General features: G+C 42.9%; 1 protein-coding gene and 1 long non-coding RNA gene across 2 annotated transcripts in view, besides 1 other annotated feature; both read left to right on the top strand.

Annotated features, from left to right (window-relative positions):
• The window catches only part of LOC101927066 (uncharacterized), a 494634-nt gene that overhangs the window by 156464 nt on the left and 311763 nt on the right, over positions 1–26407 (top strand). The window lies entirely within an intron of this gene.
• On the top strand, positions 12106–16546 carry TSPYL5 (TSPY like 5). Its single transcript, NM_033512.3, has one exon. It carries the CDS (start codon positions 12190–12192, stop codon positions 13441–13443), a length of 1254 nt encoding a protein of 417 aa, NP_277047.2. The 5' UTR covers positions 12106–12189; the 3' UTR covers positions 13444–16546.
• Positions 12568–13069: an enhancer, noted in NCBI's record as "H3K27ac-H3K4me1 hESC enhancer chr8:98289193-98289694 (GRCh37/hg19 assembly coordinates)". NCBI's record gives its function as "activates a minimal SCP1, AML or CMV promoter by ChIP-STARR-seq in primed H9 embryonic stem cells {active_cell/tissue: H9 hESC(primed)}" and the evidence as "EXISTENCE:reporter gene assay evidence [ECO:0000049][PMID:30033119]".

The raw sequence follows: 26407 nt of genomic DNA, 5'->3' as shown, positions 1-26407 counted from the left end.
TCTAGCCATTTCTAATATAAAATAGATATAGGGCACAGGAATAAAAAGGTTTGAGTGTGTATGAGAGGGGGACGAATAATTATAAAACATGACAATTGATCATTCATTTTCTTCTGACACTTCTCTGTTAGCAATAAAGCTCAATAATTTATGGCATTGTGTTAGGCAGAATAATGGTCTCCAAACATGTCCAAATCCGAATCCCCAGAAACCTGTCAATGTGTTACCTTATATAGAGAAAGGAACTTTCCAAATGTGAGTTAAAGTTCTTGCGATGGGGAGATGATACTGGGTTACCCGAGTGGGCCCAGTGTTATCATGAGGGTCCTTATTAGTGAAAATGGGAGGCAGGGGGGGTCTGAGTGAAAGAAGGGGTTGTGATGATGGAAGCAGAAGTAGGAGCGATGTAACTGCTGACTGGAAGAGCCAAGGAAGGCAGACAGACTCTAGAAGAGAGAGGAGCCAAGGGAACGGATTCTCCTCTAGAGCCTCCAACAGGAACAGAGCTGCCGACAACTTGATTTTAGTCCAGTGTGACCGTTTTGGACTTCTTACCTCCAGAACTGTGAAATAATAAGTTTATGTTGTTTTAAGCTACAGAATTTGTAGTGATTTGTTAAACCAGCAATAGGAAACAAATTCAGGTCCCAATTCCCTTTTCTCTTATTTCAGCATTGCTGCTTCTTGTCAGCAGGTAACTGCGTTTTTCTGAGTTAAAAATCATAAAAACCTGGATTAGATTTCTTTAGATCCTCATGCATACTGACTCATAAATTAGCACCCTGCCTGTGGCCACTCTTTCCTGCCAGCCCCCTCCTCCATCCCACATGGTCCCACCTATCCCGTTCAGCAAACATCATCCTAAAAACATCAACATATTTTCTATTTTAATTTTAAAATGACATTTTACTTTGTTAATTGTGTGTAATTTTGGGGGTGGTTTGTCATGCATGATATTTTCCAGTTACTCTTGAATGGTAAAATCGAGGCCAGAAGGCCAGACTGAATTATGCCTGAGGGATTCTTTTTTTTTTTTTTTTTGAGACGGAGTCTCGCTCTGTCGCCCAGGCTGGAGTGCAGTGGCGCGATCTCGGCTCACTGCAAGCTCCGCCTCCCGGGTTCACGCCATTCTCCTGCCTCAGCCTCCCGAGTAGCTGGGACTACAGGCGCCCGCCACCACGCCCGGCTAATTTTTTGTATTTTTAGTAGAGACGGGGTTTCACCGTGTTAGCCAGGATGGTCTCGATCTCCTGACCTCGTGATCCGCCCGCCTCGGCCTCCCAAAGTGCTGGGATTACAGGCGTGAGCCACCGCGCCCAGCCAGGGATTCTTTTTTTTAATTTTTAATTTTTTAAAATTTCTAACTTTTATTTTAACTTCAGGGGTACATGTGCCAGATATGCAGGTTTGTTACATAGATAATCTTTGTGTGCCATGGTGGTTTGCTGCACAGATCAACACATTATCTAGGTATTGAGCCCAGCATCCATTAGCTATTCTCCACCTGCAGGATTCTTAACATGACTTTTTCCAGAATTCTCTTCTCATAAGTGAATTAATTCATCATCAAGAGAATATCATATAAGCGCTCTTGATGATTAATGAATTTATTTACTATAGAAATATGCAGGGCCTATGGTAATAATTTTTTTTGCAACATTCTTGGTTGCTGAAATCTTGTTTGATTATAAACTGGGAAAATTGATTGTTGTCACTGGCGATGTTCGTTTTACTTTTTAATTGGTATGAGTGATGGAAGGCAAGAGACAGGAGGAATATTTGTCATTTCCTTCCCAGAGGCACTTCTGTTATTTTTCAGTTCTCCTTCGTGTGGCGGGTAGGGTGCCCAGGTACTTTGGAGTGGCTCTTATGTTTATAAATCTTCTGCAGGGGCCTGCTTGGTGTTCAGTGTCATTTCTAGGATGATCCCTGCTACAGTGGGGTCCCTCCACTACAGCTGAGTCCCTCTGCTACTCTTGCAATGGAACACTGGGGCTTGGAGTTAAGAGAACATGTCATAGAGGGAAGCATAAATCCCCTGGCCTCTTGAAATGCAAGTCCTATGTTTAGCTACAGAATGGTAAACATTCTTCTCGTTCTAAATAAAGTAACCATTCCATGTTCAAACTGCGACTTGTTTTGCATTTTTTCTCCCATTGAAATAGCATGTGGCATGGGAAGAGTACCCTCTGTAAGTCTAGGTTCCAGAAATAGATCTTTAATCTTTCCTTATAACTCGCCTTGTGTTTCTAGGTCTTTTTGTTCCCCCCAGTCATTTCAGAGCTCAGAGCTGTGAGGCTCCCCCGGTCTCAGAGCTCTTCGTCTCTCTGAGATTTGGTCCTAGAGAAGGGAGTCTAGTTGCTTTCTAGAACCAGCCTCTTTCTCTTAAGAGTGTCTGTAAAATGTTGGTACACACAGTGTTCTCAGTATTCTATTAGGTTTTTACTATGATATTTCAATCCAGATTCTGTGGTGGGAGCTCTTACAAACTTACTGACACATAATTCCCTTTTATACCGTATTTTGTCTAAATATGGTTGTACCCATTTTTAGCTAGATAGCGTATGAATTAGTACTGATTCATGCCCAGGACCAGATGGAGCTTGCCTTTTTCCAAGGAAGATAAAGTGTTAGGTTTTCTTGTCTTAGTTATGAAAAATGCCAGCTTGAACACCTGTCTGGTGTCCTAATTGTCTTAATCTGTGAAGCGGAAGGGCCATCTGGCTCACCTGATCAATTATGTAGATATTGATTAAGATGGGGAGGAAAAAATCATCCAAAGAGGCAGAGTTAGTCACTCAGTCTGCCGTTCCTGTCAGGAGCGTGTTAGTTGCTCAATAAAGATCTGTGGATCCCACTGCTAAGGGCTGCAAGCAGCATGAATGTGTCTGAGATGGTCTGGTAAAGCCTTCATATTGTAGGGAGAAGAACATGTTTGGGGAATCTAAACTACATATTTAAGAAAACAGGCCGGGCATGGTGGCTCACGCCTGTAATCCCAGCACTTTGGGAGGCCAAGGCAGGCGGATCACCTGAGGTCAGGTGTTTAAGATCAGCCTGGCCAACGTGGTGAAACCCTGTCTCTACAAAAAAATACAAAAAATTAGCTGGGCATGGTGGTGGGCGCATGTAATCCCATTTACTCAGGAGGCTGAGACACAAAGATTGCTTGAACTTGGGAGGTGGAGGTTGCAGCGAGCCAAGATCGCACCACCACACTCCAGCCTGGGCAACAGCGAGACTCTGTCGCAAAAAAAAAAAAAAAAAAAAAGCAAGCAAGAAAAAGAAAACAGAGGTAGCACAGAACCCTATGTATGAAAAAGTAAAACCAATTAAAAATAATCACGGGTAAGCATGGGCTCATTTCTGCAATCTCAGCAGTTTGGGAGGATGATGCAGAAGGATCACTTGAACCTGGGAGTTAGAGACAAGCCTGGGCAACAAAGCAAGACTCTGTCTCTACAAAAGTAAAAAATAAGGCCAGACACAGTGGCTCATGCCTGTAATCCCAGCACTTTGAGAGGTCAAGGTAGGTGGATCACTTGAGGTCAGGTGTTCAAGACCAGCCTGGCCAACATAGTGAAACTCTATCTCTACTGAAAACACACACACACAAAATTAGCCAGGCGTGGTGGTGGGAGCCTGTAAACCCAGCTACTCGGGAGGTTGAGGCAGGAGAATCGCTTGAGCCTGGGAGGCAGAGGTTGCAGTTAACTGACATCATACCACTGCACTCCAGCCTGGGCAGCAGAGCGAAACTTCATCTCAAAAAAAAAAAAAAAAAGGAAAAAATTAAAAAAACCCACACAATCATCATCTTTGATGTTTAAAATGAAAAAGAATAAAAATCTTGCTTAACAAAAATATCCCTTACTTGTAAAAGCTGTCTTCCAGTTGCCATCAATTCCTTCCTCTTTAACCACACAAGGTGGAGTCCTACCTTGAATCATATTACTGCTATTTATTTTCAAAAGTGTCTCTGGAGTGACAGGAATAAAAATCTCTGTTCTTTAGGGGAATTCAAATAATTTCCAGACATTTGTTCATGCTTTCACTGAAAAACATAGTTTTTAAAGAACATGGGCATGGAACAGGGGTTGCACCGTGGAGCCCACAAGCAGAATGGTTTCATTTGGTTCTCATGGGATTTTAAAAAGTAAGAAATTTCACATAAAAATGCAGAGTTCTTCACGGCAGCGCGCAGTTGGAGTTGAGTGGCAACTGTCAGCCTGAGATGAGGCATAACCCGCACTCCCTCCCAGCCCCTGTGACTTCCTGAGGACTGCACTGGGTCACTATTCATTCCACCACCTGCATGACCCTGTACCTGAACCCTGACCTGAACAACCATCTCTGACACTATGGAGAAACCAAGGTGCAGAGTCACTCTGAGAAGAAAAATGTTTAACTCCACTGGGACCTAACTTAGTCTGAATGTGAGGTGGGGAGGACTTGAAGTGGGAAAACATTTTTGAAAGCAACAGAAGGCATGGCTCTCAGGAAAGTTCTGTACCCATTTGGTGCAGGAAACAGAATGAAATTCAACACAGTCCATTCCTCATGTGATGTTGTCTACCACAGACAATACCCAGGCTCCAGGCTCTTGTCAGGGAGAATAATGTCAATTGAAGAAGGCGGTGTTTGCAGAGGCTGACTTTGAGATACATGTCCACTGTCTCCTCTAAATTCTATGAACTGTTTCCTTGGATTGAGTCATTCTAGTTTTGGACCTAAACCACCATGGAACTGCTTTTATGAAGTGTCTCTCTGTTCTGCTCACCAGCCTAAGGCGAGTGCCACAGGACGGGCCCACAGTGCTGGATTCAGTGTCAGGATTCTCCTGGGACTTTCAATCTTGACATTCTTCTCTGGGTTAAGTATTGTAAATAAATGTGTTTTCCCTGAGAATCTGTTTTTTTCTTTCTTTCTTAATATTACAAACATTATAAATGTTATACCACATCTGATTTCTCTCTTTGCACTGATGGATAAAAGGTCAGAGTCCAATCTGTGGCCTGCCTTTAGCAAGTATATCAAACACAATAAAATTGAATGCACTTGGGTAATTTACTCTGTTTTGTTCTTTTCTTCCCAGCCCTTAATTTTCCTTTGTCCTTCTTCTTGAATATTCATTTTTAAGTGCTTTTAAAAATGTCTTATTGCTACCAAGTGTTATACAAATACAAAATAAATAACTAAAGTGGGCATTCCAGAAGCCAAGGAGTATCTTCAATTAAATTAGCCCAGGTAAAATAAATTGGAACAATGAAACCCCATACTTATGGACTCTAATTGATTACAACATATGATTGAACACAATGCTTCCCCATTCATTTAAAATTTAACTTAATTTTATCTTTGTTCATATCTCTTATGTCCTAGGTACAAACTCCTAGCTCCATGAAAACGATGACTTGTTTGATAAAGTGGGGGAGGGTCTTCTAGTTGGTTTCTCTCACCACCAAAGCTGCTTGGCTGGTGTCTGAGGTGTGCCAGGTTATCTGAGACAACTCCCCCACCTTACCCCAGGACCCTAACTCCGTGCTGGTCCTGGCCATTCTCTGAAGCAGTATGCTTTCTTCACTCTCAAAACCATCCAGGACCTTAAGAGTACATGAGGTGGATATGATTCCAGTTTCTGTTTTCCATCTTGCTGTTTCTCAACAACATCTGGCATATCCAGGTTCTGTTGGGATCTTTTCCTCTTAATTAATCTTCCAAGTGAAAAATTTGCAACTTTACTTTTTTCTTTAGTATATTTCTACACCAGTAATTGATGTGTTGTATTTGGAGAAAAAAAAAGAGGGGTAAGGAAGTTAAGAGTGTGTCTGTATGTATGTATAACCGTAAAGATATAAACAAGTATGATATCAGCATTATTGAGTGGCATAAAAAGAGATGGTAGGGAAGAGAAAGACCTTGCATCCTTGCTGTTTTCTGCACTAGAAAACACGTGGTGGTGTTGACTGAGAACAACTTATTTTTGGTTTGGAAATTGATGAGGTTTGTTTGGTGCAGGAATGGCTTTGGAGTAATTCAGGGAGAAGGCACCATGCAGCTTACATAAAGCAAGTTCAGTTTCTGCAACTTGAAGCTTCTGGTCTGGTTGGAGGCAAAAGGCTTGCATATGTAACCCAACTGGAGAAGAATTCAAGTGTATGATAAATTACTAAATTATGTATTAAAAGCAATAACTGCAATAAATGGAGTGTACCCACCATTCTAAATTTAACTCATAAGCAATGAATGAAAGACTTTCTTGGAGAGCACTCAGTTTTGCTTTAGAAGTTACTCTTAACTGTTGTAAAAAATGCTCATATTTCGAGTTTCATGGATTTCTTGATTTTTGCGATCATAACATATTTTATGAAGTCTTTTTTTAATACCTTTTGCTATTTTCTAAAATTATTAATGTGACTTATATTCCAGGGAGTTTTAAAGTCACTTGTTTCTTGAGTTTCTTCTGCCTTAGTGTTATATGGCTACATCTGTTAGATACTGGGTCTGGTCCAGAAAATACTATTGTAGTGAATATAATTTTTTATAGTTATAACAATTTATAAAATCCAGATGAATGTAACCATGGCAATTCAGGCAACTTGGTAACGTACTACTTGAAATTCAAGTTTCTTTGAGGTAAATATGTACTCATTTAGGGTGTTCCCTGTTTCTTTTCTCCATCTTCTCAGGAGCCAAGGGTTATCCATCCCATAACTGGTGAAAAGGTTTCTGGTGTGCATCTCATCTTCTGTCTTTGCTGGCCTCTGCTGAAGCTTAGCTGGCCCTGCCTAATCTTTGGGATCTTCCTCTACTTTTATTGTGTACGTTGATGCGGCACATCCTCATGGTATCTGATGACCAAGCCCTTTACTCTGCAACTTCTGGGCCTAGCTTGCAAGACCCAGTTGAACTCCATCTGCTCTTAGCCAACCTCTGGACCTCTCTTAGCAAGCCTGAGGAACATATGGCTGCCCTTCCACTTCATTCTAGGGCTGCCAGAGATTGGGAGTGGGGGGCATACAGGGTGAGAGAAGCCATTTCAGAACTTTCTTTGTTACCCTATACATACTTTTATACTGTCTTGGCTGCCCTTTGATGGTATGGAGCCCTCTGAGAAAAGCCCTTTCTTGTGTGAGTTTCAATTGTCAAGTTAGGAACTAATTCTCCCTATTCCCATACCTCTGTCTTGTCCAGAGAAGGTTGTCTTTACCAATGCTCCAAGGGTATTGACCCATGTGGTGGTCACTGTGTGGTCACCGTGAGAAGCATTTCTCAAGACCCTACACCAACTATTCACTCTCTGAATCTTTTCCAAGTTCCTCGACTCCAGACCAGAAAAGGTTCTTAGCTCCTCTTTGTGTAGCAGAGAAATGGCTTGTATATCATCATGTTTTTCCTCTTCTACGGTTAATGTTATAAACTCTATGCTATTAGTGCTCCAGGACTTATCTTTGGAGAGCTAAATACACACACACACACACACACACACACACACACACACACACACGTCTCTCTCTCTCTCTCACACACAGTGAGAGTAGAGGCAGTGTGTGCGTGCGCACATTTAGCTCTTCAAATATATATCAAATATATATATCTTTCTCTTTCCATGATATTGTGTCTTACCCTCTTAAGAGCCAATTTTGAAATTCAAAGTGAAGAATTTGACTGGCTGAAATTCTGCTTGCTGGGTTCTTTGCTTTTTTTTTCCCTTTTCTAGAACAAAAGCCTTAGCCTAAGATCTTTTTTAATGGTTAAGATGCTGCAGGATAAAAAGGAAATGCCAAGAAGAAAGAATACGTCAGGCAATACTTTAAAATATTTTATAGCTACTTATAGGATATGATCTGAAATAAGTGACGTGGTCTACCATAAAATTTTCCTCTTTGGCGAGGAACTGGCAAGAAGCTAGGCAAATTTCTCAAGATGTTAAGCTCAAATAGTCTTGAAATTTATCATAAGAGGCAGATTTTTCTCTCCCTCCCTCCTTGACTATGAAAATATTTCTTAGGACACTGCCTTCTTTTCCATACCCTTTGGTAACCTGGGAGGGTTGGTTGGCAAAATTCCACACAGTAAGCAATACTCACTGCTATCTAACAGACTTAAACTTTCTCCTTGGGGAAGAATAGAAAAGTGCTGTGGCTAAAAATGTCAAGTCTGGGATCCTAAAGCTCTACGAGAGAAATGATGGGGAATATTGTTCCCTTGGCTGAGGAATAGGCTGGATGACAAATGTCTTTTTCCCAGCTTGTAAATTTCTGTGATTCAAAGAAAACATATCAAAAGGAACGGAGAAAGCACAATATGCAGAAAACAAAAGTGAAGATTTTTTATTCTAATATTTTGAATTACATACACACAAGTACATATGCATATACATACATATAGACATAATACACATAAACATTTGAAAAATATTTTATGAATTTCTAATAAATATTTGCTAATAAATATTACATTAGAAATAATCAATTAAATGCTTATATTACCATCAACTTAAGCCTGCAGATATTGCAAGAAGTTCACAACACTCCAGGATCTCTGAGTTCATGACAGTAAACTTGCATTTCTTTCATAATATTAACAGGATGCTTATGATAAATGCAGTGCAAATAGAGATGCTTCGTTCTCATCATGGGCTGTTGAAACTAAATTTATGTTGAGTATTGCTATGCCAGGTATATTGTATACCCCATAAATAAATGACTCATAACTAAATGATGTATGTATTATGTGTATATGTATGCATCTGCATATGTGTGTGTATATATATTTTTAATATATATAATTTTTTTAACATTAAAAGGTATTTTTACCCACTGGAGAGAGTTTTAATCTCTTAAGCCATAATTTTACATTATGTATTTTTAATTAAGAGCACGGTGCTGGAGTCGCATCGCTTGGGCAAAAAACATTTATTAACTGTGTGACCTTGGGCAAGTTATGGAACCATTTTGTGTGGCAGTAACCTCCTCCAAGACGAGAACAATAATTGCACCTGCCCCATGGGGTGATTGCAGAGATTAAATGAGTTAAGGCATAGCACTATATAAAAGTATGAAATAAATGTAAACTTTCATTATAATTACTGGTATGTGCAAGGCCCCATGCTAGGTACTCTGAGAGATAAAAGTAAAAAGAGACACAGTCTCCACACTTACACAGTTTACTATCCAATTAGGAACACAAACTACAGTTCCACATAAAGTTAAATATTAAGACCCAAGAAGAAAACACAGTCCAGTTCAGCAGCACAGACCAAACTCTTAAATACAAAAGCCATGGGGAACTGGGTGGCTTAGAGCAGAGGGGTATTTTTTTAAATTATTTCCCTTCATCTGATGCTTATCTCTTTGACATGATGAAAAAAGGCTCAAGGCAGATTGTATAATAAACACATTGCAATGGCCCAGCCCTGTGTTAATCCTACAGTGGTTTAGCCATTGGTGACTGCTACATGACGCAGATGCTGACGCTGGATTAAGACTCTTGACAACAGAGATGGGTTGATCTGTGAGTGTTCTAAGAAGTGGGCCAACCCATCAATGTCTAAAGTCTATAGAGGGTTGGCAAATGCGTCAGATGATTTTTTAATTTTTTTTCTGAGGTTTACGGAGAGTTTCAGGCTGTGATTATCTAGCTTAAGAGGTAATTTTGTAAAAGAACTGGTACAAAACAGGGTGTGCCCCACTGCCAAATGAATACTATAGTTAACAAGTACTCTGTGAGATCAAGGACAAGGCTGCTTATTGTGGTCTGGGGTGATCACAGAAGGCCTTGGGAAGAAATTATTATGAAAGGGCCTTCAACAAGAATTTAAGATAATCCTTGCACTAATTAATCCCTTTTAAGTCAAATATTAAATCTCCCAACTTAATTTTTAAATTTGTCACTCTAAATTCTTACTTACAGACTGTCCCTGAATGGTGCTCTGTAACAAAAGATAATTTTTTGGCTAAATTATGAGTTTAGTAGGTTTCCATGAGTTGATCTGAGAATACAGCATCCATAGCATTGCTTCTGTGGGAAAAGGGGAGCTATTCTGAACTTCAGACAATCATTTACAAACCCATTTTTGAAAACTCTGCTTTGATTGGTTCTTTCTTTCAACAAGTATTTATTAAGTGCTCTTGATATGTCAGACACTGTTGCAGGCACTGAGGATACATCAGTGAACAAAACAAAAATCTCTTCCCTCATGGAGCTGACATTCTAGAGAGAAGAGATAGTTAATAAGCATAATAAATAATTGGTATAGTGTGTTGGAATAAAGAAAAAGTACCATAGGATAAAGGGATGGGGTGGGTGGCAATTCTAAATAGGATGGTCATTGAGAAGGTGACATTTAAGCAAAGTGTGAAGGCAGCTGGCCAAGGCCACCAACCACATTGGGAAAGAGCATTTAAGGTAGAAGGAAGAGCCAGTGCAAAGGCTCTGAGGCAGGAGTTTACCTAGTGAGTTTAAGAACAGCAAGGAAGCCAGTGTAGCTAGAGGTGGGAGAGAGGAGAGAGAAGATGAGGTCAGAGAGGTAACTCATGTAGTGGCAGATAGAAGACTTGCCAGATCATACAGGGCCTTGCAGGCTATTCTAGAGCTTTTGAGAAAATGAGGAATCACTTGTATTAGGCCGGCTTAAAATAGGGCCATCTGTATAAAAATAATTCCTCTTTAAATTGTTTCCTTAAACTTAGGGGTGTATACAAATCACCCAGGATCTTGTTAAAATTCAAATTCTGACTTAGTAGGTCTGGGGAAAGGCCTGAGATTCTGCATCTTTAACAAGCTTTCAGGTGATATCAGGCTGCTGGTCCACAACCACACTTTGAGTAATGAGGTCCCGGGGCTTTTGGGCTTATCTCTCCACTAGCTGGTTACAAGGGCCTTTTTGTTCCCTTTGAGCCTGAAAAGACCACCTCAAAAGGTTTTTCTTTATATTTTTACATTAGCCACAGGTCCCCTCACTGTTCATGGTCCTATTACCTCACTAGTAAGAGCGTGGTCCAGGGCTGCCTCCGGGACTGTGGGGGAGGTTGTCCGGCTGTTTCCATGCACAGTGTAAGAAGTTTCTAGGGCTTCTGCAGTGCCACGTGGAGGCTCTGCTTCTGAACCTCAATCTGCTCCCTGAATAATAATTTCACCTCTCACCACATTCTTGTCTTACTCCAATTACAGGAGCTCTAATACAGGTCTTCACTTCTGGTCCTATACCTAGAGTGATAGTCCAGATCTGTAAACTGAGGCAGCTGGGGGACTCGGGTGATGTTCCCAGGCAGAAGAGGTGGTCAGGTGGTCCACGGAAGCCTGTTTGTTAAGGAGCAAGGCTGATTTCTTAAGAGCCAGCCCAGTAATTGACAGTGGAACAAGTCTGGAAGGACTTGCCATTTCCAAATATAAGGCATAGGATACGGAGTCCCATGGGCTTGAGTTTGAATTGTGCTTCCATCCCTTACTGTGTAACCTGGGGAATGTGCCCGGGTGTCTCTGAGATGCAGTTTTCTTATCTCGAAAATGGGAATGATATCAACACCTCCTTTGTAAATTGAGATAATGCATTTAAAGCACCTAGTAAAGTGCCTGGCACAAATGATACAAAATACTAGTTGCCATTATTTTTATAATTTCTACTATCATCTTACTGCGTACCAAATCGCTTTGACGCCCGGCATTATAGCATCCACCTTTACGTTCTCTGGAGTTAAGGTACCAGAGCAAATCCCTCAGCAAAGGTGTTCAAAGAGAGACACACACGCCCGAGCACTTTCTTCATGACAGATGCCACAAGAGATAACTGGAGGAGCTGAAGATGTTTAGTTTAGAAAACAGGTGATGGGGGACAGGTGGTGATGGCTCTTAGCGTTGCCTTGTTCAACGAGACCCTGAGAGCACGATGAGCCCGCGCGGAAGAGATGAAATGGCAGCACCCCCGCGAGCGCATATCAGAGAAACTCGCCGAGACCTAAAGCGAGTCCGCGCGAGATGGGGGTGGGAGCGCCCGCGGGGGTCGTCTCCTGCGCAGCCGCAGCGGCGGCGCCAATCACCGGGCGCATCACGTCCTCTCGCGACGGTACAGTTGTACGTTCGTGACGTCGGCGGTTGCCGTGGAGAGACCCGCTCGGTCCCGACCGAGAGCTGGCGTCAGGAGCCGCAGGGTCACAGCGTGTCTTTGAAGCTGCCTCCGCCGCCACCATGAGCGGCCGAAGTCGGGGTCGAAAGTCCTCCCGCGCCAAAAACCGGGGCAAAGGCCGCGCCAAAGCCCGAGTCCGCCCTGCTCCGGACGACGCCCCGCGCGACCCGGACCCTTCACAGTACCAGAGTCTCGGGGAAGACACCCAGGCGGCACAGGTGCAGGCTGGCGCGGGGTGGGGTGGCCTGGAAGCCGCTGCGTCCGCGCAGCTCCTCCGGCTCGGGGAGGAGGCCGCCTGCCGGCTCCCCCTGGACTGTGGCCTCGCGCTGCGGGCCCGAGCTGCGGGGGACCACGGGCAGGCCGCGGCCAGGCCCGGCCCGGGGAAGGCCGCATCTCTCTCGGAGCGCCTGGCCGCAGACACTGTCTTCGTGGGAACAGCGGGAACCGTGGGAAGGCCGAAAAATGCCCCCCGCGTTGGAAACCGGCGTGGCCCTGCCGGGAAGAAGGCCCCAGAAACCTGTAGCACCGCGGGGAGGGGGCCTCAGGTCATAGCTGGTGGGAGGCAGAAGAAAGGGGCGGCAGGGGAGAATACCTCGGTGTCAGCTGGGGAGGAAAAGAAGGAAGAGAGGGATGCAGGGTCGGGGCCCCCAGCGACGGAAGGCAGCATGGATACGCTGGAGAACGTGCAGCTGAAGCTGGAGAACATGAACGCCCAGGCGGACAGGGCCTACCTTCGGCTCTCCAGGAAGTTTGGGCAGTTGCGACTGCAGCACTTGGAGCGCAGGAACCACCTCATCCAAAATATCCCGGGCTTCTGGGGGCAAGCATTTCAGAACCATCCCCAGCTAGCATCCTTTCTGAATAGCCAAGAGAAAGAGGTACTGAGCTACTTAAACAGCTTGGAAGTGGAAGAGCTCGGCCTTGCCAGATTGGGCTACAAAATCAAGTTCTACTTCGATCGCAACCCGTATTTCCAAAATAAGGTGCTCATCAAGGAATATGGGTGTGGTCCTTCTGGCCAGGTGGTGTCTCGTTCTACTCCAATCCAGTGGCTCCCAGGGCATGATCTCCAGTCCCTAAGCCAGGGAAACCCAGAAAACAACCGTAGTTTCTTTGGGTGGTTTTCAAACCACAGCTCCATTGAGTCTGACAAGATTGTGGAGATAATCAACGAAGAATTGTGGCCCAATCCCTTGCAGTTCTACCTTTTGAGTGAAGGGGCTCGTGTAGAGAAAGGAAAGGAAAAAGAAGGCAGGCAAGGTCCAGGAAAGCAGCCAATGGAGACTACTCAGCCTGGGGTGAGCCAATCCAACTGATCCTGCACAAGTCTCCCTGCTACCTCCTGCTGGGCTGCTCCTGGTTGACTACATATTTGGCTCTCTGCCTTCTCTTCATGTTGGCCTCTGTGTACTATAGACCCTTTGGACTTTAGTTACAAGAATATGGCATTTATGATCATGTTCTTTTGCCTCCCATAGCCTCTTGCTTTTCTACGTTAGTGTCACATGTTATGTGATCGCACCCGGACTGTTCATATGTTAAGCACACATACTTTAGATGTGTGCTCCCTGTTATCTACATTGCCTGGACCTTGTTCTTGGCTCTGGCCTTTCCTACTTGTCTTTAACATGGACACTCATGAGTCATCCTCCAGGACGACCAGTGCATCCTCAAGCTCTGCTCCTTCAGGGCCAGTGACTTGCTGGGCTTCGTGTTCATGCTGGCCATGCATGTCATCTATGCAAGCGTTTCCATTGCCACTGCAGAATGAAGCCAGTGCACATGGTATTAGTCATCAGCCAGAACTTCCTGTTCTGTGGGTCTGGGGTCACCAGCTGAGATGTCACCTGCTTTATTTCTGGCTTTGGCCTGTGGTCTGTGATACCCATCCTGCTTGATGTTCTGCAGAATGGCACTTGACTGCTGGGCATGCATGAAGTTAAGGGCAAGAAACAGTATGCCATGTGTTCTGTACCATCATGTGTCTCTTCTTGCTTCTGGGCCCTTCTACTGGTGAACTTTCATCAAGATCTGCGCCATGCCGTGTCACTATCAAGCCATTAAGTTTTGTCTGGGTTGCTGTCAGCCCCAGTTGGCTTCCTGGTCAACAAGGACCTCAAGAACTGCCTGTGGACCGAGGCCCCCTACCAGTGCATGAGACACACACCTACCCTCCCCAGCTTTCCAGGAACCCTACTGGCTGCCAGACTGATGGGCGGGCTGGTATGTGTGGACATGTGTTCACTGTCATTATGCTGTGGCTCCAGGTGAGGGTGAGGACTGGGCCTATATAGAATCCAGATACCATTGTCAACTTCCCTTATTCCCGTCTAAGATGTGAGCAGAGTGCCATAGTAGGGGTTCTGGGAAGAGGTATTTCTGATTTGTGGGCCTCTGCTTGCTTGACTTCAGGTCACTTATACTTCTTATTTTGCTTGCCTGCCTTCATCCCTCATTTCCTCCCTCTCATTCTTCTTTCCTCCCTCCCTTTCCTGGTAGCCTCCTTTCCTCCCCTTCTGCCTTCCCCTTCCTTCTTTCCTTATTCTTTTTTATTTTGTTTAAATAGTACCACAGAGAAAACAACTGAAAAACCACATTTTTCTACATACAGCTGGGGAGGTAGCTGAGAACTTGGCACTGCGCACACATACTAGGTTGAAAGAGAGTTGAGGAAACCAGAAGGCCAAGTGGATCTGCTGGCAAACCCTGAACCTGTCTCCTGCGCTTGCTCTACAGTTCTGAAGTTGAAAATCCTTTTCATGCCTAGCATCTGCTTGAGTTATAAACCCCAAGGCAGCCATGTCATAGACTAGTGTTTACTCTTGTTTTGACTTTGTTTTAATGCTTCCTAAGACCCAAGTGCCTCCTGCTGTTTCCTCCTTTGTGGTAGCCTCTGGCCATCTGGACCTCAATCCCCAGCTTTCCCACTTTCAGCAGTCCTTTGCTCTCTTTGCTTCTACCTCAAATAGCCCCAGGAGTGGGCTTTAGTCTCCAATATGGAGCATCTCAAGCTTCTCCTGGGGGATGGGGATTGGGATGGGCAGAATCTGTTTTGGATCTCCGGGTTATTTCCAGTGGGTGTAAAAGCAGAGCTGGGCCTTTCCCTCTCTTATCCCTGAGGGTGGGTAAGAAGGACTGTATCTACACCTGTTCTTCCCTACCTTCTCTTTTGTTAGGGAGGCCTCATTCTAAGTTCCTCAAGAGAGTCCTTGGCTTAAAGCTGTAGCAAGGGTGTGCTAGGTGGGGGATTTGGAGCAAAACCGTCGAGTAGGCATGATACTGGTATGGAGTGGGCCTGCAAAATCAGACAGAAATGGCTTGAGAAGCCGCAGGGGGAGCATGCCTGTCTCTCAGTGATAGAGTATGGGAGGGACCTCCCTAGCTTGGAAAATGAGAATTGAAGGGGTTATGAACAAATAGGATGCCTAGTTGAGGATGTTCCCAAAGTTTTGTCCAATCTTATCATTAGTAGATTTTATAAGCCACAGAGACAAACCAGAAACGGAATAATGTTACTTTGGATGCTTTATTTTTTTGTTCTAGGTGTGGCTTTGTACATGCAGAAGAATGCTATATGCTGCACATTTTGCCTTTAAAGTCTTACGACTTTCCCCATTTTAGTCTAATGGGAAGATACAGATGTGCAAGTCTGCTTTTTTGTTTTTTGTTATTATTTTTTTTTTTTTGCTCTGTGTTATGGACATTTTCAGACATGCACAGAAGTGGAGAGGATGGTCCTTGGACCCCATGTGTCCATCACCTAGCTGCATCACTTATCAGCTATGGTCAACCTGGTTTCATCTGTATCTCTCTCTTTTCACCTGTATTGTTTATTGAAAATCCAAGACACTATGCCAATGCAACCGTGACTACTTTGGGAGATTGGTAGTCTCTTTTGATGGTGATAGTGATGGGGTGCACTATCATAATCACATCAGGTCTGCTTTTTGCTTTTAATGTTAACTAATGAAGTTCCAGAGATGGGCCTTAGAAATGTGTTTTAAGAATTAACAAGGAGTCTCAAAAAGAAATGAGAGGGATGCTTCCTTTCCCTTGCATCTACAAAACAAGAGAGAGACTGTTCTGTTGTAAAACTCTTTCAAAAATTCTGATATGGTAAGGTACTTGAGACCCTTCACCAGAATGTCAATCTTTTTTTCTGTGTAACATGGAAACTTGTGTGACCATTAGCATTGTTATCAGCTTGTACTGGTCTCATAACTCTGGTTTTGGAAGAATAATTTGGAAATTGTTGCTGTGTTCTGTGAAAATAACCTCCCCAAAATAATTAGTAACTGGTTGTTCTACTTGGTAATTTGACACCCTGTTAATAACGCAATTATTTCTGTGTTCTTAAACAGTATAAATAGTTGTAAGTTTGCATGCATGATGGAAAAATAAAAACCTGTATCTCTGTTATATTTCTGATTTTCAAAAAAGAATTGGAAGGTTTTTAAACAGAGGCTGGGCAGCTGAGAGAATATATACATTGCCCTAGATAAGTGATTCCCAAACCGCAGACCCTGACTAGCTACACAAAAATACATAAAATTTTGATTTCTAGGCCTTTTACCCAAAGATTGAGATTCTATGAATCTGAGAGGAAGCCAGGTAGCTTAGTTTTTAACATGCTTTCTAGTTGATTCAGAAGCGGTGAACTCCCATTAGAATAATCTAGATTCTATGAATCATCTAGATTCTAGTAGGAATACAGTGCTTCTTAAATTTTAGAGTACATCTGAATTGTGTGGTGAATCGTGTTAAAATATGCATTCTGATTTAGTAGTTTGGGATGGAACCTGAGATTCTGCATTTCTAACGAGTTTCCAGATGATGACAGTGCTGGTGATCTGTGAACTGTACTTTGAGTGGAAAGGGGGGGTGACCTTGAAGTCCCTTTTAAACTTAAGTAGTGGTTCTCAACTTTGGTTGCACACTAGAATTGTCTGGGAAGCTTACAGAAACACTGCCAGAGCTCCACACGAAGACCAACTAAATCAGAATGGGGTAAGGGATAGGTCTGGGTGTAGGTATTTTTAAAACTTCCCAGGTGATTCTAGTGTTTAGCCAGAGCTGAGAACTACATACTCTGATGCTGTTCATTTCAGATCCATAACAAGGATCATTTCCCATTAATCAGGAGAAGCAGTGGCAGACAACCAAGTGGCACACTAAGCTGCCCAGCAGAAAATGGACAAAATTAGAAGTGGGTGGTTACTGACAAGAAAATAAAATTGGCTTATATGACGAAGGGTTTTAATAAACATGCAGTGTTCAGGGCATAGTAGGTGCTACAGTGTTGAATGAATGAATGAATTTAAAGCAGTTTATATTCAGATGCCTGAGGGCATTTGAATTTGGTAATTTGTGAAGTGGGCCACATTTGTTTCATAAGAAGATCTTATCAGTTTTCTGGGGCTGCCATAACAAAGTACCACAGACTGAGTAGCTTAAACAACAAATTTATTTTCTCAGTTCTGGAGGCTAGAAATTCAAGATCAAGGTATCAGCAGGGTTGGTTTCTTCTGAGGGCCTCACTCAGCTTATAGATAGCTTTCTTCTCTCTCTGTCTTTACATGGTCTCTGTGTGTGTGTGTGTGTGTGTGTGTGTGTGTGTGTGTGTGTGTGTGTCTCTGTGTGTATATATATCCTAATCTCTTATAAGGATACTAGTCATCTTGAATTGGGGCCCCTCTAATGACCTCATTTAACTTTAATTACCCTTTAAAGACCCTGTCTCTAAATTCAGCTACATTATGAAGTATTAGGGATTATGACTTCCACATATGAATTTGGTGTGAGGGCAGGAGCAATTTAACCCCTCACAACATCTTAACTTGTATTCTTTTGACACATATGTGCCTCACATGTTATGGTAGTTAATTGTATTGAGGCATATCATGTGCCAGGCACTGTTGCAGGCGTTATACAAGGATTAATATATTAAGTCCTTATAACAAGTGATAATTATCTCTTAATGAGGGGATGGGTTGAAGAAATGGGGTAAAAAGAGGTTGAGTAAATTGTTCAGGATCATGCTGGTAATGAATGAGCCAGGCTTTAAATTCAGGCAGTCTGGTTCAAGAATGCACCAGCTCACATATAGCTCTTGACTTGAGTAGGAATAATCTTCAGTTTATCAACAGTATCTTTATGTAGAATCTCCTAATTTTGCATGTTAAACATAATTTAAACCCTTGGAGTTTTTCTGATATGTGGAATGCAGAAGGGATGGAGAGCAGCATCTCCAGGCCTGATCTTCCTCTCAGGATTCACTCAGAGTCTGCTTGGATTATGAATTGGGAGGGGCTCTCTGCCCAGTTCAATTTCATTTATGCACTTGCTTCTCTGTGGGTGCAGAGCCTCTGTTGTCCAGGCCCTCTTTCAAATACCTCTCTTCAGTTCCTTGGACAACCCATTCAATCTGGGATTTACTACTTCTCCATGGGCTCATTCACTCATTGCCTCTTATATGAACCAGTCCTTGGTGTAGACATTGGAGATACAGCTATGGACAAATACAACTTTGAATTTTTCTTCCCCCACCTGCACTCCACCCCGCCACCCACCTGCCATAGGCTTCAGTCTCTTCTTAGCTTTCACCTGGGGTTGACAGTCAATCTTTTTTTCCATTTTCCTGCATGGGGCTGGTGAATGCTTTAGGTGTCCATGTGGGTTGAAGAGGGGGCTAAAGGAAGCCTCCCTCACCTTTGGCCTTTAGGTCAGACTTCACAAGGGACTCAGGCCTTCCATAACCTGGAGAGGGAGGGCCTCTTGGGTCATTCTAGTCAAGAGTCCTTGGCCCCCCTTTTAGCTTTGACTTTTATTATAAAAAGCCCTCTTCTGATTTTTTCACTGTTACCTCCTGGGCTTTTTGGAAATGTGGTAGGTTTGTGCTAGGCCATAGGTGAGGGAGGAGAGAAAAATAAAATGGTCCTGCCACCCTGAGCTTACCAAAGATCTCTACCAGCTTTGGACTGTCTATTTCTTCTTGCACTTTGGGCTTCTTCATTCTAGTCTACTTTAGTGGTTTGCAACAGAGGAAAGAGAAACACTGCCCTAAGGAGGCACGTTAGAACCACCTAGGGAGGGAAATTTGGCAAATTCGCTTGCTCCTCTGAAGATTCAGAAAAGTCCCCAGCCATGGGGAGCCACTATAACTGATGGGTAGGGTCATATCCCTCAGGTGTTAGAACAATAAAAAAGTACAGCGTAGGCTATCCAGTCCATGATTTCTATCTTTATTTGCCCTTAGTGTCTTCACTCCTGCTTTTGGAATCTTCTCCAACTATATTTCACTGTTCAGGGCCACAACTCACTACTACTCATTCACTTTCACCTGAAACTCTGGCCTTAGAACCTCCTGTCAGGTGTCCAGCTACTGGCCATCCAGCGCTCGAGTCTTGAATTCCTCCTCTTCCTCCATCCTGTCAACCTGGTCCTCAGCTGAGGTTTGACAAATATAAGACAGTAGCTATCATCTGTGTGACCAACACTTCATGGTTTACAAAGCACATTCACTTATATTATCTTGATTATAACTACTATGCCATAAGAAGGCTCAAAGAGGTTAAATGACCAAAATCACAAAAGTAGTAGAGCCAGGACTCAAACTTGGGTCTTCTGATTCCAAGTTCCATCCATCCATGGGACGGTAAGCATGTGGCCCAGGGCAGATGTCTGGCACTATGAATCTAGACACTTCTTTGCACAGAACCTGTATTTAACTTTCTGCACAGCGGATTATCCAGTTGCTGCCCATCAATCTGAGTTGGCATATGAATGTGAAACTTCTTTACCATCCTGAACTACAGCATGCATGTGGTCATAACAACTAGGAGCAGGACCGACTTGACTCATTGGTGGGTGAGGCTTCCTTCAACTGCGTTGTTCAAAGGTTAGGATTGGCTCTAGACACAGTATGCTTGCAGATGAGGGCTGAGTGCGGTTTTGGGCCATATATATCAACAACTGCTGATAAATTCGTTGGAAAGGGGGAAATTTTGCTTCTATAAGAAGAAGTCTGGTAATGGGAGGTTGTCAGGTTGTAGGCTTCAGCGGCTCAATGATATTAGGGATCTGAGTCTGCCATCTTTTCTTTCTTTCCCTTGGCTTTCCCCTCACAATTCCCCAGCTCCAAGCATCACAACCTCACCCACATGCACTCAGAGGCAGGAAGAAAGGGGGAGGAGGGGTCCTTCTTACATGTCTCTGTTTTTATCAGGAAAGAAGATCTTTGTCAGTAGTCCCTGGTGGATTTCAGGAGACCTAAGTCAGGTCCCTTGGGCCAGAAATGAGTCACGTTCCTACACCCTACCTCAAGGAAATCTTGCATTTTCCAGTATCTCTCGGGGTTATGGTTCTGCCATCTAGAAATAAGGAAAGTTCAAGGGGCTAGAGCTGACAGGTGATTTTCAGTCACCTGTAGTTTTATGCTTTCTGAGATAATTTTGTGGGCGTGGAACACCAGCTAACACCTGGAGGCACCGTGCATCTGCCTTTTCCCCCCAGGTCTCCCAGTTACCCCTTGTGACAAGAAAGCTTTACCTTGTGCTCAGTGTTTTGTGTCTCATCTCCTCTATTGCATGGTAAGTGCTTTTCTGGCCAGACGATGCCTTTTTGGTTTTCATGTCTCCCACAGCACCTACCTCAGGGTTCACTCAACATTGGATGTGGGTGATCAATAAATGCTAGTTGAGTAAATGCAATACATCAATGAGCTTTCTAAAATGTCAATTTGATCATGTCAAGCACTGGTTAAAACCTTCAGCAGTAGGATCCAGAATCCCAAGGAGCTCATAACAAGCCCTCCATTATGTGCCCTTTCCTTTTGTTTCTTCCAGACTTCCTTATTATGAAAACTTACAAATATTCAGAAAAGTACAATCCACCTGTATACCTACAACTTAAGTTCAGTGATTGTGAACTTTCAGACATATTTAGTTTGTCTATGTGTGTGTATATATGTTTATTTTGCTGAACCATTTGAATTAGTTGCGTGATGCTTCATCCCTAAATACTCAGTGTGCATCTCATTAAAAATAAGGATACTAGCGGGGCGTGGTGGTGGACGCCTGTAATCCCAGCTACTTGGGAGGCTGAGGCAGGACAATCACTTGAACCCGAGAGGCAGGGGTTGCAGTATGCTGAGATCATGCTGCTGCACTCCAGCCTGGGTGACAGAGCGAGACTCTGTCTCAAAAAAAAAAAAAAAGATATTTTCCCACATAATCACAAGATCATTATAAGACTAGAAATTGGTTCCCAAATACCATCTAGTATCCAGTCCATATTTAAATGTCTTTAAATGTCTCTATTGTTTCCAAGTTTATCTTACCATGTTAGTTTTACAATCAGGATTTAATAATATTCAGGCATTCCATTTGACTGTTATATCTCTTTAGTCTTTTTAAATTTTCCCACTCGTGACATTAACTTTCTGAAGAAGTTAGGGCAGTTGTCTTGTAGGATGCCCCATACTCTAGATTTGTCCAATTGCTTCTTCTTGGTTTTAACTTTTTCCTCTATCCCCTTTTTTTTTTGTAACTAAAGATGCAGTTGAAACACCGAAGATACTACCTAAGTGAAGCTGTGTACTTTATATATGTCACATCAGAAGGTGCACAATGAGAGGTTGTCCTACGGTTGTGCCAAAAGTTTGATCTTTTGGTTAAGATGGTGATCACCATGTCTCTCTTTTGTAAAGATGCATTTTCCCTTTCCAGTTAGCTGGTAATTTCTAGATGGTACTCTGTTACTGAGAGAATATTATGTTCCCCAAAACTTCATCCCAAGGTTTTAGCAGCCATTGATGGTTTTTGCCCAAGTCAGGTATTTCACCGTTGGTTGCAAAATGGTGATTTTATAATCCTGTCATTCTTTTTACGTACTTTAGTTGGCATTCTGGTATAAGGGAGGTCTTTCCCTCATCTTCTGGCAAAGAACTACGTTTTCTCCTAAAAAGGCAGTGTAAAGACTTAATACGTTCCCTTTAATCACCAATTTTCAGCATCAGAAGTCGGTATAATAACCTCCACTGGTCTCAAATAAGGGCATGATTTCTTTACTGTCACTACAAGTGTGTGGATTTTTATTTATTTAATATTTACAGTAAGTTACAGTCAACTGTTCAGTTGACCTGTATTTTGGCCCTAACCAACCTATACCAAACTCCTCTCATCTTTGTCTCTAACTATCTCCCCTTGCCACCCTGTACTGTGCTCCAGCCAGTGTGAACCATATCTGGTTCTCTGAACACTCATATTTACACAAGCTGTTTACTCAGCAAGAAAGCCCTTTCACATACAGCTCAGATATACTTGTTCTGTGCTGTTATTTTTAATCTTTCAAGGCTGAATTAATCCTTCCCTTTTTCTTTATTTCTGCAATATTTTGTCCACACTTCAATCTACAGTAACTGATGTAATGACTTGTACTTACCTGTTTACCTGCCTGCTCCCACCAGAGATTATGTGATCCTTAGATCACAGAAGAATAAAACAGTATGTGTTAATCATTTTTGTATTCCCACAGCCCAGTGGCCTACACATAGTAGGTGCTCATTAAGCACTGAATGAATGCAAATGAATGGTCCTTAGAAATTGATGAAGGTATCAGTGACAAACTACAGAGAGGTTAGAAGAGCTCAGGAGCAGAGATTGGGAATAACTTCAAGTGAAGGAGAAGCATGAACCTAATAGAAATGGATTAAAAGGGGTGGGAGAGGGAAGCTATTACCTGCAGAAAGCTTTGGGCAAAAAACAGTGGCACCAAATCACTCTCACATTGGAAATCAAGTAGGGAAATGGAAGAGAGCAGGAAAGCAAATGAAAAATGTTGGAAATGTACCATGTACACTGTGCTTTAGTAATGTTCCACAGCACCTGAGTCTGTAATTGAAAGCAAGGAAAAGCAAAGCCAGTGTGATTCTGGACAATGACTTTCCCAGGGATCTTTCTCTGTCTTTATACGTAGACATGTATATATAATCTGCAATCTCCTAAGAGGTCCCTTGAATTTAAATGACTCCAGAAAATTGGGGTAGAACAAAAACAATCTCTAAAAGTGGTTTCGCTGAAAAGCAACCTGGACAGGAGGTTAAACCTGCAGAGTGGAACAGAGTGAATAAATCTAGGGGAAAATTACTTTGAGCTTCAATACTAAATAGCCTGAATTCCAAGACTATGTGGAAAATATGGTCATCAAAGCCTGGTGCTGCTTTGCCAAGTGCTGTGGGACTAGATGATTTATGAGATAATTCAGGGCATTAAGAGGGGGACGAGGGTGCAAGGTGAGGCATTTGAACCCAGGCACATTCTGGAGGAGGTTATGATTACAGGGCAGATTGTCCCTAAGGAAGCAAGGTTGTGGGGCCCCACCATATCAGGAGATCTCTTCATCTTGTGCTTTGAGAACCTGTCTTGCTACTAGTGCCACCTCTGGCCTGAGGACAATTTATTATCCTTCTAGCATTTATGTGAGGGACACTGAGTCCCTATAAGCTTACATGCCATTCTCTCAGCAAGAGGTCTTATCTGACTTTCAGTAAAATGATACTCCCACTCCTGCTGCTCGCTTTGTACTCCTTCTCACAGCTCCCTCTTTTCCTTGATAGGATTTATGATTCATGACTATGACTTTGTCTCTGAGTTTGTTTCTTCCCTTAGACTGTAACCTCTGAAAGATCCTTGCTGCTGGATCCCAAATGCTCACACATAGGAGGTATCTGACAAATATTTTGGACTAGTGCAAATGTTGATCTTATGAGCCAATTAAGATGGCAGGTTGGGTGGGCCATGCCTTGGGGTTGTCCTTTGGCAGGAGGAGATGATCCCTTCCTAATATACAAGGGGACTGGGAGAGTCCATTTTATTGAGTGGGTACCACATGCTAAGGACAGTGCTAAGCACGTTATACACATTATCAAAACAAATATATTTTCATACTCATTTTCCAGATGAGATAAAAGAGCCCAAGAGGGTTTAGGTGACTTGCCCAAGGTTATGTAAGTTGTAATTCCTGGAACTAGGGGTAGAGGCTCTTAACCATTATTGTGCACTGCCTCTCTGGTGGAGGTTTGCAGTATGAGTTTGTGAGTTAGGCTAACATCGTCCTCATGCCTTCAGGAAGGAGGAAGGACAGTGTGTGACTATAGATAGGTTCTCAGCTCTCCAGGGGGTGACGATCACTGTGCCTAATCACCAGGGAGGAAAGTGTGGAAAGGGTGTGTGTGTGCATGGGCCATATCTAGGTGTGTGTCCAGGAAGGCCATGAGAGTGGCCAGCAAGCCAGCTTTGACTGCCTGCTGCTTGTCCTCAGACCCACACCATCCTGAGGCTGCCGGGGTATGATGCACACTCACTTGGGGATCACTGCCCACTGAGGTAATTGGGTCCACATTTTAAAGGCTCCCAGCTGCGGGCAGCCTGTGGGAAACAGAGACCCTCCTGGCCCAAAGCAGCCCAGCAGGTGGAGGCCTTTCTGAATAGAGGCATTAAGTAGATGGTTTGATCAGGCTGAGTCACAGATAGCATCAGGCTCAACAAAAGGCAAGAACAGCTCCTAAATGAGGGATTTGTTTGTGTACAGGCCACGTAGGCAGGCCTGCTGATTAGAAGCTGTTCTTTGAACTCCAGCCTCCCACATGGACAGCAGTCCCTATCATTTGTCTTGTCTTGGAATAAGAAAGATGATGAAAAATAAAATCAAGGTTTCTTGATATTACCATGGGAGTGTGCTTTCCCCTTCACAAAAAATTGACCCTTCTACTCCACACAGGGATTATATGGAAAGTAAAAAAGTAAGGAGTTAACACTGAGCAGCTACTGCATGCCTAAGTGACTTATATACAGTTGTTATTTTATTTTTTTACAATAGCAAGCTTATGAAGTCTTCATTGTTACCTACATTTTATAGTTAATTACACTGAAGCTTTGAAGATTAAGGAACTTGCTCAGGGTTACTCAGCCAGAATTCTGTCTGACTGGAGTCTGTTTGGCTCCCAAACCTCTGTTCTCTCAATTATAACATACCTAGAAGAGGGGAGACACAATTACTCCTGTTTTTAACAAGGGTGTATGATTCAGTTAGAATGCTTTCAGTTGCAAGTAACAGAAACCCTGACTTAGGCCCAGAAATAAGGACAGACACTATTTTTGTAATAAGGAATCTGGAGGTAGGTGATCCCATGCTTTGTTTTAGCTGCTCACTTATCAAGCTTCCAGATTCTTTCCATCCTTCCAGTCCTTCCCCTCCAACATCTTTGGATTTGGCAAAGACTTTTTGTCCTCAAACTTGTCTCATGTCCCTGAGATGACTGCTTCTGTTCCAGGCATCATATCCCCAAATACAGTGTTTAAAACAGGAAAGTTAGGAAAGGGAGCAAACAAGGACTTCTCCCCTAGAACCCTATCTCTTTTACTGGGGAGGAAAATATTTCCTGAAGCCTCCCAATGGACTTTGCTTTCTATCTTTTTGGCCAGAAATGAGTCTTCACCCTTAGACAAATTGCTGGCAAAGGGGACTGTTATTGCCATGACTGGCTTGGGCTGACCAGGACTGTTTCCCTGGGAACTGCAAGGAAGAAGGAACATTGCTGTTAGATAAGCACTCACCACACAATTCTAAGGCCAGGGGTTCATCAGACTCCATGACCACCATTGCTAGAATACCTTGGAGAAGGGAGAAGTCAACATTTATTCATCGATTCAGACAGCTTGCTTGTTTAGTACCTTCTGTGATCTCAGGCATGCGTTAGGCACCATAGGGTCAAAGGACCTGTAGAATACAGGCTTGCACTTACTATTTCATCTAAATGGGAAGAGTAGATAGATAGAATAGGTAGATAGATAGATAGATAGATAGATTAATATATAGATATGTGTAAGTATATATATATGTATATACATATATGTATATACGAACAGTTCAATGAAAACATGAAATAAAAATTTAACAAAAACCAGCATATGACCAAGAGGTCATAGGGCAATACAGTAGATTCTTCTTGGAAGATTTTGTGAGTTTCTTTGTCTTACTCATGATTCAGTGGAAGCACTTTAAATTCTTTTTGATCAATGGGATTAATTTTATATTTTCTGTTATTTCTTTCCAAATAAAATACATCTATTAATATTTCGCAATGATTTGGAGGCTGTTTTTGGCCAAGAAAATTATTTTTAGGTGTTAAATCTATATTGTTGGCTTCCTAGAAAAAGTATTTGGTGCTTCGGCAAGAGATGTGAACCAGCTATGAATTTAAGTATCAGCGCTGGTAGTTTT

This window comes from Homo sapiens, chromosome 8, assembly GCF_000001405.40.
Source record: "Homo sapiens chromosome 8, GRCh38.p14 Primary Assembly".
In the NCBI taxonomy this organism is placed as follows: domain Eukaryota; kingdom Metazoa; phylum Chordata; class Mammalia; order Primates; family Hominidae; genus Homo; species Homo sapiens.
Note: the sequence above shows the minus strand (reverse complement) of the source record. Positions and strands in the feature narration are given on the sequence as shown.